Genomic DNA, 14,156 nt, shown 5'->3' with positions numbered 1-14,156 from the left:
CCATTTAAGAGGGCCTTAGCAGTAACCAAGAAAAACACAAATTGTCTATAAAAGCCTGGTATGTTCTTACGAGCATTATGGCATGTGCCCATTGAACATTAGCTCTGCTCATCCCCATCAATTACAGCCTTTGTATTGACCACTCCCTCCAAATTGTGCTCATTGCTTTCCAGGTATGTCACTAACTGCTTCTGACAATAACCAAATTCATGCAAATCCCATAAAATGTTTTTTAAGCATTACTACCATTCCTGAAAAATCTTATGACTAAATGATCTCTAAGGTTTCCCGATGTCACTTGACGGAGCCCTGTCTCGGGGTCTGGCCCTAGAATTTATGTCCAGGTTACTTATTGGAAAGTTTTCCCAGGAAGAAAGGAAGAGTAGCTGACGTAGGAAGGGAGTGAAACCAGTGATAGCATGCATTATCCAGCTGTACCCTGCTCTGGGCAGCTAGGGCTTAACTCCCCCAGGAACTGCTGGAAGCTGAGACACAGTGGCAATCTGATGCAATCTCTTCCCTAACAACCTCCTTGGAAAGGAACTTGTGTACAGGTGTAGGCTTTCTGTCATGATCCCATGCCATTCTCTGAGTGGCCACCTCTGCTTAGGAACAACGGTGTTAGTAGCTGTTTTAGCAATAATGATGATCCAATCTTTTTCTTAACCACTGCAGCAAGGATTATCTCCAACAAGTAAACAGCACAGTATTTTAAAAAATGTGTTGTAATGTAGAAAAGCATACTCATCAAAATGTAGGACTGAACTAGAGTCCTTGGACAAGACAACATGCCAGAAGTTCTTGATTCTTCTCCCAATTCCATTTGATTCTATTTGTTGGCTGGTATGGAAAGTCTGACAATTTCCTAAGGCCAGTACAATGTCAAAATTGTAGCTTACTGTAATCTATCTGCTTTTGCTTCTATCCCATAATAACACAACTGGAACATGTTTTGAATGTTACTGACAGTTTGAGGGTTCTAGCGTATTATTTTGGAAATTTCTGCTAATTTATGTCACCAAAATTGCTGACTTGAGACTGAGTATTTGCCCACAGGCATGCATAATTAAGTTTTTAATCAATTATTTATTGAATTTGTAGATTGAACATTTTTTACAAAATCATGAATTATATTATTGATAATTAATCATAATTCTTGTAAAATGTAGTCCCATGGCATAAAAACATTGCAGCTTAAGAATAATTTTATGTCTTTTATATTAAGATAAAGTTTTAGATAAAAGATTGAGACTGATGTTAGATAACTTCAATTCAGATTGGTTAGAAAAGATATATTCAAGCAATAAGTTAGCACAGCATGCAAATGATGGGTTAGGATTTTTAAGGAAATATTATTTGCAATTTACTTACATAATATAGATTATGCAGGGAATTGTCTTCATTAATACATCTCTAACAAGAACAGAGATAGAAAGTTGAACTTCACTATGTTCAAACCTAGCCTCTCATATCCTGGTACAGGACATAAAATTTCTTGGTGCATTAGTTCTCTCAACCTGAATATAATGATAGAAGCTACATTATATGAATTTTGTCAGGATTAAATAAGGTAGTGCACACAAGGTATATCACAAAAATTGTATTGACTACACTGTGTTTAAAAGTCCATTCTATGTATTGAGGTATATATAATTGGATATCAAGGTTTTTTAAACTTATTTGCTGGCAGCTAGATAAATCTGCACTGAACTTTAGTGCAAGGAAAATGAGGATAAAAGTCCTTAATAAAATATAGATGAAATACTTAGGGTAGTTCACAGTAGAGAGATATACTTTCCCCATAGCTGACTGCCTCTGTTCACATGCTATGTGGCGTGAAGGTGGAGAGCAACATCCAAAGGCTGGAAGGCATAACGCTGAGACTTTAGGAAATGATTGATGGAATGGATCATGTTTGAATTGGGTATCAGAATATGGGAACAATTTGAACTTTTTCTCTGCTTTCCCAAAGTTCCCCAAATTCTGCAGAGTGACACTGGCTATGTGAGGTTATTTTAAAATCTATAGATTTATATAGAGAGACATAGATACAGATGCAAGTGTAATTTAAATACACGAATATACAGACATGCGCAAACACACATATATTTATACATCTATGTATATTTATAAAACTGATTGGATCATATCGGAATATATCTGCATCATAATTTTATAAGTTTCTAAAACATATAGCATTTTCATAGCATTCTGCAATAATAAGTAAAAAAATGTTGAAAAAGTATTTCTTCTATGGTTAAATAATATGTTATTTTCTGAAAGTAGGAAAAATGTGTTTTCTATACCTATTTATTTTTACATGACTGTTGTTAGTCCCAACAATAAAAAAAAGTTAAAGCAGCTGTTGTCAAAGAATATTTTGGGTGACATTTAAAAAAAACAAAATTAGCATTGAATATACTTTAATTATTTTTTAAAAGATGCTAATCATTTGGAACATAAAATTAATATTTTATATATCAGTAATTCTATCATTATTTTCCATACGTTATAGACTTCATAGGCTTAATGAAAGTTAAGAAAGTTTCATTACAGTAATGTTTGATGGGATAAGTGAACCAGTATTAATACCTCTTTTCCAGCATTTAATGATAATATAAATTAGTAGTAATTTTGAAGCTACAGCATGTTTTGTGCTTTTTGCCTCTTCTTAAATACTAAATTTATTAAAACTTAGGCTTAATAAAATAATAGGTACCAACTACTTATTTGCAAAATAAATGTTATTTGAGGAACATGTATTACTGAAACCATGTGGCACTTTTTTTCATTTTCCTGTGAGTACTGGGTTGTGAAAAATAGTGCATTATTTGGTGTATTCTCATAGCTTCTTGTGGAAGTCAGTACATTCAGTACATACATTTTGGACTAAATTGAATTCAACTTAATTGAATTCAATTCACTTTTTAATTGAAATTTAGTTGTGGAGTTAGAAAATAAACTAATTCTATAGCCCAGAAAACCTCAAGCTTACAGTCTGGCTAGGCCCCAACAACTAAACTGGTGTCATCTAATTAAAAGAGGAATTTTTCTCTCCTACATGATTCTGTTCTCTTTTTCTGGGGAAAAAAAAAATTCTTTCTCTTTTTCTTCCAATAATAAGATGTATTGCTCAGTTTAAAAAAAAGGATTGCAATTGTTACATGCAAAACTGAAAATACTCTAGACAATTTCTCATCTTAGTTTTATTCATAGTCAATATTCTCACTTTCTTCTGTAGAAATATTCTACTTAGAAGAATACAAAAATAGACCATTACATTACAAACCTGATCAAATTTTCAGAATTCGTCCTTGTATGAAACAAAGTACATTGATTTAAAGTTTAATTTCTTTCAACAGTAAAATAGAAGCTTGTGGAAAACAAGTTTTAAAAACACAATAGGTCAGGGGAAGGGGGAGGGATAGCATTAGGAGATATACCTAATGCTAAATGACGAGTTAATGGGTGCAGCACACCAACATGGCACATGTATACATATGTAACAAACCTGCACGTTGTGCACATTGCTTACCCTAGAACTTAAAGTATAATAATAATAAAATAAAGAAATAAAAATAAAAACACAATAAAACTGAAATTACATTTAAAACTCAGTAAAATCTGTAACCACCTAAGATCTTTTAAGTATTAACATATGAACTGGTAATTAGTATCTTGGTCCATGCTCATTGTATAATCTTTTAAAAAGTGGAAAGAAAAAAGAAAATAATGCCAATTTTGCCAAAAACATTTTCATAGCTAGTATTCAAATCCTAAATGATGATCGTCACAGACAAGTTTTGGTACGATCTTAGCCATAAGATAATTGATTTGAACCAACATATACATGGAAGAATAAAATTTGATATTTACATTGAATCAAGTCTCAAAAATATAGCCACTTTCAAAATTTCCTGAAGATACTGGGCAGAGTCTGAGAATGTCTAAAATAATATCTTATTTAGAAACCTAACTTAATCATCCAGTTTAATTATTTTTAAAGTAAATTTATTTCTAAATCATTATCAAGCAAAAAGGTAAAAGAAAATAACAAGATATTTTTCACCAGGCTACCCAGGAGTATCAGCATGGCTGGGCGTTTTTGACTTCAGGCTTTTCACATCTACAATGTCCGTGTGTGCTCATGAAGGTTCACCAGTTGAGGAAAACCAATCGTATTGTTCCTCTGGTTTTTTGGAAGTATTCTAAATTAGAACAGAGTATTTTGCACAATACGACAGCCGATTCCAAATGTTAAAAATGTCAAAAATGCACTTGTGGCCCCATGTGAATAAAGTCTTTTGGGGTCACCCTAATGAACTGAGCGCAAACATGACCGGAGGATTTAACTCAAGGTTTCTCTCTCTACCAGCTTTTTACTGAAGAATGATTTTTCTCTGGTTGCACTGTCAATTATCTAGCATTTTGCTCATTGACTCTGAGCTGGTCAAAAAGCCAATTTAATGAACTACAGAAATGCCTTTGGCTAAGTTACGGACTTAGATAAAGACATGGGAACTACTCAAGTGTGTTTGATAACAGCCCTTGGTTCACGGTACCCACCACAAATGCCCACTAGTCAGAAAGTTCCAGGCAGGTCATAAACAAACCCTTGGCTTCAGAAAAGGTCAATATTTACTGAATACAAAGGCTTAAAGCATTTCAAGTATAATTGTTTTCTGTAGCCTTAAAAATATAAAAACTAACCAAAAAAGCTACATTTCCTGCATACAATTATATATATATAGTAATAATCTAGAATTACACACACACACACACACTCACACAGTTTTCCCTTAAGAGAGGCATCTATGTAAGGAATAATGCATATTCTATACATGTTCTAGAAAGTGCAAAATTACAGAAAGCCAAAATATCAATACATTATTTTTAATAACATTCTACATTAGCTGTTTTCAATTTGATCAATGTAACCTAAGTAAATCTATTAGGATTCAGTGCTTCAGTTAGCCATTGCTGCATAAAAATGTACCCTAATTTGTAGCAGTTTAAAAATAGCAATGTAGTTGCAAGATGACTGAGCTGAGATCCAGCATGCCTTTGTCAGGTATCTGGCCATGTGCATAGGCAATTGCCTGACACTCCTCACTTCTCTTCCATGGGACCCCTCATCTGCCAGGACACTAGCCCAGTTTTCTTCCATGGTGGGTCTCAGGGCAGTGTTCTAAGATAGAGAAAGCACAAGCATATAAGGCTCCTTGAGACCCGCATCCAGAATATGTATAGCATCACTTCTGCCATGGTCTACTGGTTAGGCGAGCCATCTGCCCAGGCCAGATTTACAAAGAGAACCATACTCTATCTTTCCCAGGAGGAGTAGCAAAATCCAATTGAAAAAATTCTATATGAGCACTTGTAGCTACCTTTGAAAATAGCATGGTCTTCCTAAATTTCCTCCTACGCTGAGACAAAATAATACTATTATAGGCCCAAGCACGAGTCCCATTTCCACATTGTTCATTATGTTGAATGATTTCAGTTATGCCTTGGAACTACTTTGAATTTGTCAAACTGTTTTATGATATGGAATATATAATTATCCTATATCCTTGTGTAAACATAAGAATAATCTCTGTATTTACAGTTTATCTATCTGTAGCCCCTTTAAACATTATTAAAAACTTCCTCTAACCAGTTGAGATAAATAACCAAAGATAATCAGTTATGGAATGATACCTATATGCTGCCCAACAGAGGCAATTTGCCCAAGGTTTTCCCTTTTACTGTAAATTGAAATTGGCATCAGATTAAAAAACAAAGAAAGTAGATTAAATAGTGAAGCCAGTTTTGCTAAAGTTAAGTAAAACCTACCATAAAAGGCAGAATATATCATGTGCCTTCTTATCTGAATATTTTGCTTTGTTGCCAGACCTTGTATGCCTTACATACAAGGCATAGAACAAAATTATTTTCTCCGATGTACAATCTAGAAACAGGAATACATAATTTGTTGTGTTGCTACACATCCAAGATCTTTTTTTTTTTTTTTTTTTTTTTTTTTGAGACGGAGTCTCGCTCTGTCGCCCAGGCTGGAGTGCAGTGGCGGGATCTCGGCTCACTGCAAGCTCCGCCTCCCGGGTTCACGCCATTCTCCTGCCTCAGCCTCCCAAGTAGCTGGGACTACAGGCGCCCGCCACTACGCCCGGCTAATTTTTTGTATTTTTAGTAGAGACGGGGTTTCACCGTTTTAGCCGGGATGGTCTCGATCTCCTGACCTCGTGATCCGCCCGCCTCGGCCTCCCAAAGTGCTGGGATTACAGGCGTGAGCCACCGCGCCCGGCCAAGATCTTTTAAATTATTTAGGCTTTTCTCCACCAGAGTCGGGTAAAAATTCAGTAAAAATTATTCCTCTAGATAATTTTATTTTTTAATTTTAATTAAATGAAAAGTTTTTTACAATATATTCTTGGTACATGGCTAAATCTGGTTTTTGAGTATAAATCATTTTCTTTTCCTCTAGTTTCTCCTGAGTCAATGTGTTTACTATTTTTATTAGGCATTTGAGTCTCATATTTATGTGAGGTTCATAATCTCCAGGGCTTAGGTACATAACTAAACCTCTATTACTCACCACATATGAAAATTAACCAAAGGTGGATTAGAGACTTAAATGTAAGACCTGAAACTAAAAATCCTAGAAGGAAACCTAGAAAAAAACCCTTTTGAACATTGGGCTAGGCAAATAATTGATGACTAAGACCCAAAACCAAATGCAACAGAAACAAAAATAGACAAATGGGACTAAATTAAACTAAAAATCTTATGTACATCAAAATAAATACTCAACAGCGTAAACAGAAAACCTACAAATGGGGAGAATGTATTTACAAACTATGCCTCTAACAAAGGTCTAATAAACAGAATCTTCAACAAAGTCAAAAAGAGTCAGCAAGAAAACAATAAATAACCCCATTAAAAAGAGAGAAAGGACATGAACAGACATTGTCAAAACAAGACACATAAGCAGCCACTGTACTTATGAAAAAATGCTCAACACTGCTGATCATCAGAGTTATGCAAATTAGTAATGCAAATTAAAACCACAACGAGATACCATCTTATACCAGTCAGAATAGCTGTTAGTAAAAAATAAAAATAAATACATAAATAAATCCAACAGATGTCGGTGAGAATGTGGAAAAAGGAAACACTTATACACTGTTGATAGGAATGTAAATTAGTACGACCTCTATATAAAACAGTATGGAGATTTCTCAAGAAACTAAAAATAGAAATACCATTTGACCCAGCAACCCCAATACTGGGTGTCTATCTACCCAAAGGGAGAGAAATTTTTTTGTAACAAAAAGACATCTGTACTTGTATGTTTATCACAGCACTATTCACATAGCAAAGTCATGAAATTAATGTAAGTGTCCATCAACAGAGACTGAACGAAGAAAATGTGGTATACTAAATAGAATACAACATGGAATACTACATAGCCATAAAAAAGAATGAAATCATGTCTCTCACAGCAACATGGATGGAGCTGGAGTCCGTTATCCTAAGTGAAATAACTTAGAAATGGAAAATCGAATACTGTGTGTTCCCACTTACAAGTGAGAGCTAAACAGTGGGTACACACGGACCTACAGAGGGAAATCAGAGATACTGGGTCTCCAAAAGGAGGAAGGGTAGTAAGGAATACAGGGGTGAAAAATAACCTATTGGGTTCAATGTTCTCTATTCAGGTGATGGATACACTTGAAGCCCAAACTTCATCAACACTCAATACATCCATGTAACAAACTTGCATGTGCACCCGATGAATCTATTTTAAAAAAGAAATAAATATCCTTTTTATTCTCATTTGTCCACAGATGTATTTATTATTTTATTGAAGAATCAAGTTATTTTATTGAAGAAATGGCTACTATTTCCCAGATACTTTACTGAAATCACAAGCTAGGTTTTGTGCCTGGAAACATCAAACGTTTTGTTTTGAATCATTTTAGCTAAATAAATAATTTGGATTTCTGACCTCATGACCATTAAAAAATTCAATATCACTTTTTAAAAGATGGTACATAAAATGTAATTGTTCTTCTAAAGTACTCAATCCATTCCTTTGGGTGCATCTCTCTGATCGCCATTAAACACAGACAACAGAGGTTATGGTCAATGTTATTATACTTGAAATGAAGAAATTTTACATGTATACAAACATCCCTTTACACAATTGATTCTAGCCACCTCCTGAGGTTGTTTTTAAGTAGTGTGTATTTTTAAAACTAAGCCATATTTTAAAAAGACAATGAAATCTGATTTCCCCTTGTCAAAGCAACAAACTGTGACAACACATACTCCAGCACTTGTGTATGTGTGTGTCTGGGTGTTTTTCAGTTATCTCTGTAATGTCTTTAAAACAGCCATTGCTATATACAAATTCAATCTAACATTTAAGCACTGCTATTATTTATTTAAGATCTCTAATAAGGTACTATACATTTTAGATTTATATCAGGAAAATTTAGAAGCATGAAATAATGAGTAATTTTAAAGTAAGAAGACACTTGATTTTTCTTAATTGGCAATTCCTGTGTTAATACTTTTATTAACTTTTTTTCATTGCTTTATTCTTCTGTCCAGTATACACTCTTAATGAATACCAGAATATGCTGTCTTTCCTCAAGGGATACTGTGGATCTCAGGCTTTCTCCTAAACATCACTCTATTTTTTTTTTTTTTTCACTTTTATTTTAGGTTCAGAGGTACATGTACAGGTTTGTTATATAGGTAAATTGCATGTCAGAGGAGTTTGCTATACAGACTACTTCACCACCCAGGTAATACTTGTAGTACCCTATAGGTAAGTATTCCATCCCCACCCTCCTCCCACCCTCCACCCTCAAGTAGGCCCCAGTGTCTTGTTTCCTTTTTTGTGCCTATATGTATTCAATGTTTAGTGAGAAAATGTGGCCTTTGGTTTTCTGTTACTATATTAGTTCACTTAGGATAGTGGCCTCCATCTCTATCCATGTTGCTGAAAAGGACATTATCTAGGATTTTTTATGTCTGCATAGTATTCCATGGTGTAAATGTACCATATTTTCTTTTTTGGTCTACCACCAATGGGCATCTAGGCCAATTCCATGTCTTTGCTATTGTGAATTTTGCTGCGATGAACTTATGTGTGCATGTGTCTTCATGGTAGAACGATTTATATTCCTTTGGGTATATATCTAATAATGTGATTGCTGGGTCGAATGGTAATTCTGCTTTGAGTTCTTTGAGAAATCTCCAAACTGCGTTCCACGGTGGCTGAATTAATTTACATTCCCACCAGTAGTGTCTAAGCATTCCCTTTTCTCTGCAACCTCACCAGCATCCGTTATTTTTTGACTTTTTTTATAATGGCCATTCTGACTAGCATGAGATGTTATCTCATTGTAGTTTTGATTTACATTTATCTAATAATTAATGATGTTGAGCATTTTTAATAGACTTGTTGGCTGCTTGCATGTTTTCTTTGGTTCATGTGCTTTGCCAACTTCACTGTTTATTACAAAGTCATCATCACCTGTTGCCCCTATGCTTGATCTCAACTCTTGGCCTCTTAGACTTCTATTATTTTCTCCAAGGTTCTCTTGACTCTATATACTCCTGACTTACTGAGACATCTGCTTGTCATCTAGAGCAGATCTCTGTCATACCTCTATTACCTGTCTGAATATCCTAGTGCAGTCACAGGTGAATAGGCACTGACAGTAGTAACAATAAGTATTCACTATTCAAGATTAGGAGTAATTATTTGTCTTTATGTGATATATGAGATTAAATATTTTTATAGCAATCCATCCAGTGTCAAACTTGAATCTGTAATACAGATAAAGCATTATTAAGGCCATTTTATGTAAAAGTAAATTGAGTCTCAGAAAGGTAAAGGGAATTATCCAGTATCACATGACTAAGAAATAGAAGAGGTACTTCTCTGGGAGGGGAGAAACAGAGAGACACAGGGAGAGAGAAAATGAATTTCAATTGGGTTCTAACATCAGTCAGGTTCCCCTATTTAAAATTGGTTACTACACACACATACACATACACACACACACACACACACACACACACACACACACACACACGGGATAATCACATCAAAGTAAACATTCACTGACCTCACATCCATTCTCTACTTACTTGCTGAATACACCAAAATTAGATTGTGGACACCCAGGAAATAATTATAGAAGATCACTTACATTGTATTTGAAATTATAATGAACATGTACTGTGAAAACATAATTGCTAGAAGATATTAGATGTACCAGTCTTCCTGAAATCATATTTAAAGTAATAAAAATTAGTTTGCATTATCACTAAGATATGTGTTGATATGAATTTTTGAATGACAGCATTATATTATTTATAATATTACTAAATATTATCATCATAGTTTTCTGTGTTATTGCTCAGTTTACATTGATTTATAATCATTCAGGGATATCAAATAGAAAGCCAAAATCAAGAAGGAAACTACTATTCTACTGTGGTAAAAATTATACTTATGGTTGTTTACAAAAATTGGTAAATAAAATCAATAAAAATAATAAAAAGTGGAAAATTCTAAAGCATACAAATATAAATGATTCAGAAATATTAATGCATTATGTTAAATTATTTTACTGTGTTGTTTTATATATCAAACTTTATATCTTAACCAAATTTGCCATTTTGTCTTTCTTACCCATAAGCCGCTATTCACTTAAGTAAAATGACAATTTAATTTTCTTGAATAAAAATAATTTACTACTTTTAGAAGCAATGTATTATTGGAATTAGAAACATTGCTTTAAATATAGAAGCTTATGAATACAAGTAAAATATAATTTATATTAACACTTGCTTTTTTCGCTGGTAGCAGAATCAAGAAAATGCATCAATACATTTTAATTTCACTTCTAAAGAATACATTTTCCTATAAACAAAATTATAGAATATTATTCCATTCACATAGCAAAAAAGTAAATATGTCTCAGAATTTAACTTACCCACAGGCCAGATGTTACTATAGTAGTTAGGTGAATATTCTTTCTAATAAATCTTCTGTTTATGTTAGCATATTTTGATGTTTTTAACTTTTAAGATTGATTTTTTTTTCTGAGATGGAGTCTGGCTCTGTCACCCAGGCTGGAGTGCAGTGGTGCGATCTTGGCTCACTGCAATCTCCACCTCCAGGGTTCAAGTGATTCTCGTGCCTCAGCCTCCCGAGTAGCTGGGATTACAGGTATCCGCCACCATGCCCAGCTAATGTTTTTATTTTTAGTAGAGATGGGGTTTCACCATCTTGGCCAGGCTGGTCTTGAACTCCTGACCTCAGATGATCCACCCGCCTCAGCCTCCCAAAGTGCTGGGATTACAGGCATGAGCCACCACGCCTGGCCTAAAGCAGGAAAAAAAAAATAAAAACCTATATATATATATATATATATATATATATATATATATATATATATATATATATATATGTACATCTAATATATATATACGTATTTTTTTTTGAGAAGCTTTAGGTTAACAGAAAACAAAAATAGCAGAAAAAGCAAAGAGCTCCCATATATCCCCTCACCATCCCCCAAAGAACCTCCTGTTGTTACCATCTTACATTTAGTGTGGCACATTTGTTATAATTGATGAGCCAATGTTCACATATTATTGTTCACTAATGTCCATAGTTTCCATCAGGTTTCACTCTGCATTTTGTACATTCTGTGAGATTTGACAAATGTATAACGAAATGTGCCCACTAGTACTGTAGTGTAGTTGGAATCATATGGGATGTCGCCTTCACAGGGTGGCTTCTTTCACATAGCAATATGCATTTAATGTTTCTCTGTATCATTTCATGGCTAAATAGTTCATTTCTTCTTATCATTGAATAATATTCCATTGTTTGGATGTATCACAGCCACAGTTTACTTATTCACCTATCAAAGGACACCTTGGTTGCTTGCAAGGATTAGCAATTATTAATAAGCTGGTAATGCTAATTTTCCAATGAGCTGAATCAGTGCTTTTAAAACTCTGGGATGGCATTCCTGATTTCCAGGATCTGTTATTCAACCAATTTTTTCAACTCAAAACCAAATTTGGACTATTTTAATTTAAAGTTTATTACATATGTAGGCATGACAGATTAAAAAATATATTTTAACAAGTGAAGATATCACAAATACAAAACTAAAATACTGAAAAACCCACAAACAAGAACAATCGTTTTCAAGTCTTCAACTGCTTGAGAATTATAATATCATGAGTTATCAGAAAACAATCCTATGAAATCTAAATTGAGTCATCTACTTTTGGTTAATTAAAAAGAGTCTCTTAAATATTGATTTCTAAATATAACAGCAATTTATTCTGTTCTCTGTTTCTTTTGGAGGGAATTCAAATAGACATAAACAGTTATTGTTTATGTCAAAAATTTACTAAATACATTGTGTTTAGGATTTCAAGATTAATAATAGTATTATTACTCAAACCCAGTTCTTCACAAAGCTGTCACTTAAAATTGAAATCCTTTATTTCAAGAATTATGTTACACAATTTCAAGGTCTAAAAATATAAAAGCCTAATGGGCAAGGCTTAAACAGTAGGAAAGTTACAAGTTAGTTTACAAAAGTGCTCGTGCTGGATTTTCCATCCCCTAAAACACATTTTGTATATTTATTTCCCCAAGGTTATTCAGATCTACACTGTCCCAACAGGAAGGCTATTATAAAGATATCAAAAACATATCTTACTTATCTCTAGGTAACCAAAGTAAGTAAATTAAATTAAGAAACAAATTGTGCTTAACTTTAATAAAACCTAATATACAAGGCAAGATAGACTGTACCATCATCCTTCCTCTCTGAGGATTCTGCTTCACTACAAACTGAATTCTTCACAGGTTAAATTTAAGTATCAAAATAATAAGTAATTCTTCTTGCCCTAACAACTAAATAGGATGTAATGCATTTTTCTAGGACATTCGACTCACTTAAATTTAAATGATAAATGACTTTTTATTTTATTAAAATCTGCTTTTATGGGAAAAGAGTTCAATGAGATTACTAATATACCATATAGTAATATACCATAAAAAGAACTTAAATTATATGGTAAAAATGAAGACATAAACTTCTATCATCATTGTAAGAATCTAGTTGATCATTGGAAGCCACTGCTCAGCCTTTTCTTTCTTCTCAGCATTTTTCTGTCTCTATCTTTTAGCACATATATCAGGGAGGAAGAAGGGCTTTGGCTTCATCGTTACGAGACCTATCTAGGCAGGGAGACATCAAAGAATAGCCAAGTTGAGCTTCACTGAGCCCATCCCTGAAGTTTTGCTTTCACTGAAGCCCCAAGATCTCCTGCTAGCCGTGGTAAATGAAGCTGGCTACAGTTGAGTAGCTTGGGAAGCAAAGGTAGAGAGCAAATCGAGATACGCTAATAAGGAAGGTAGTAGAAGCCACGTGGAAGAGAAGAAGAAAATTCATAATTAAAAATGAGCTGCTCAAGTTAGGACCCAAATTATAATTTTTAAAATGTAATTTTCTTTGTGTCTAACAATTTGCAATTTTTCATAGCATAAGCACATTCATTAATATGACCCATTCACAGCAATATTTAGCTGTCTTTTATGTAAGTTTATATGTGTGTGTATATATATGACGAAGGTTTATATATACACACACACACATATGGCATGATTTACTCACAAGTTAACATTTTAACAATTCAATATGAAATGTAATTATATAAGATGCTATTTTAAATCATTTTCTCTTTTATTCTATGCTGTCCTTTATTTTGCCATATCTTATCCGTTTTCCAAATGAACATAGTTCTCTTTAGCACAGATTTTATGCTTAGTAGTGATTAGTTTCCCAGCTTTGTGTTTCAACTTCTGATTAGATGTGAGGCACCTCACAAATATTGCCTGTTAACTCCACAGAATGACGGTTTGTGAGCGTGTTAGAGTTCGAAAACTACAAGATTCAGTTTGCTACAGCTCGAGACTATGAATCCCCCCCAAAAAAAGCATGTTAAAATTTTTATACCTGCCATGGATTTTAACATAGTGCCTACACACCTGTAGTTTAACTACAAATGCTCACTCTTTTCTACCCTTGCCTCCTCTCTCC

This window comes from Homo sapiens, chromosome 13 (assembly GCF_000001405.40).
Source record: "Homo sapiens chromosome 13, GRCh38.p14 Primary Assembly".
NCBI classification, from domain to species: Eukaryota; Metazoa; Chordata; class Mammalia; order Primates; family Hominidae; genus Homo; species Homo sapiens.
The sequence above is the reverse complement of the archived record's forward strand: the minus strand, read 5'-3'. Positions refer to the sequence as shown.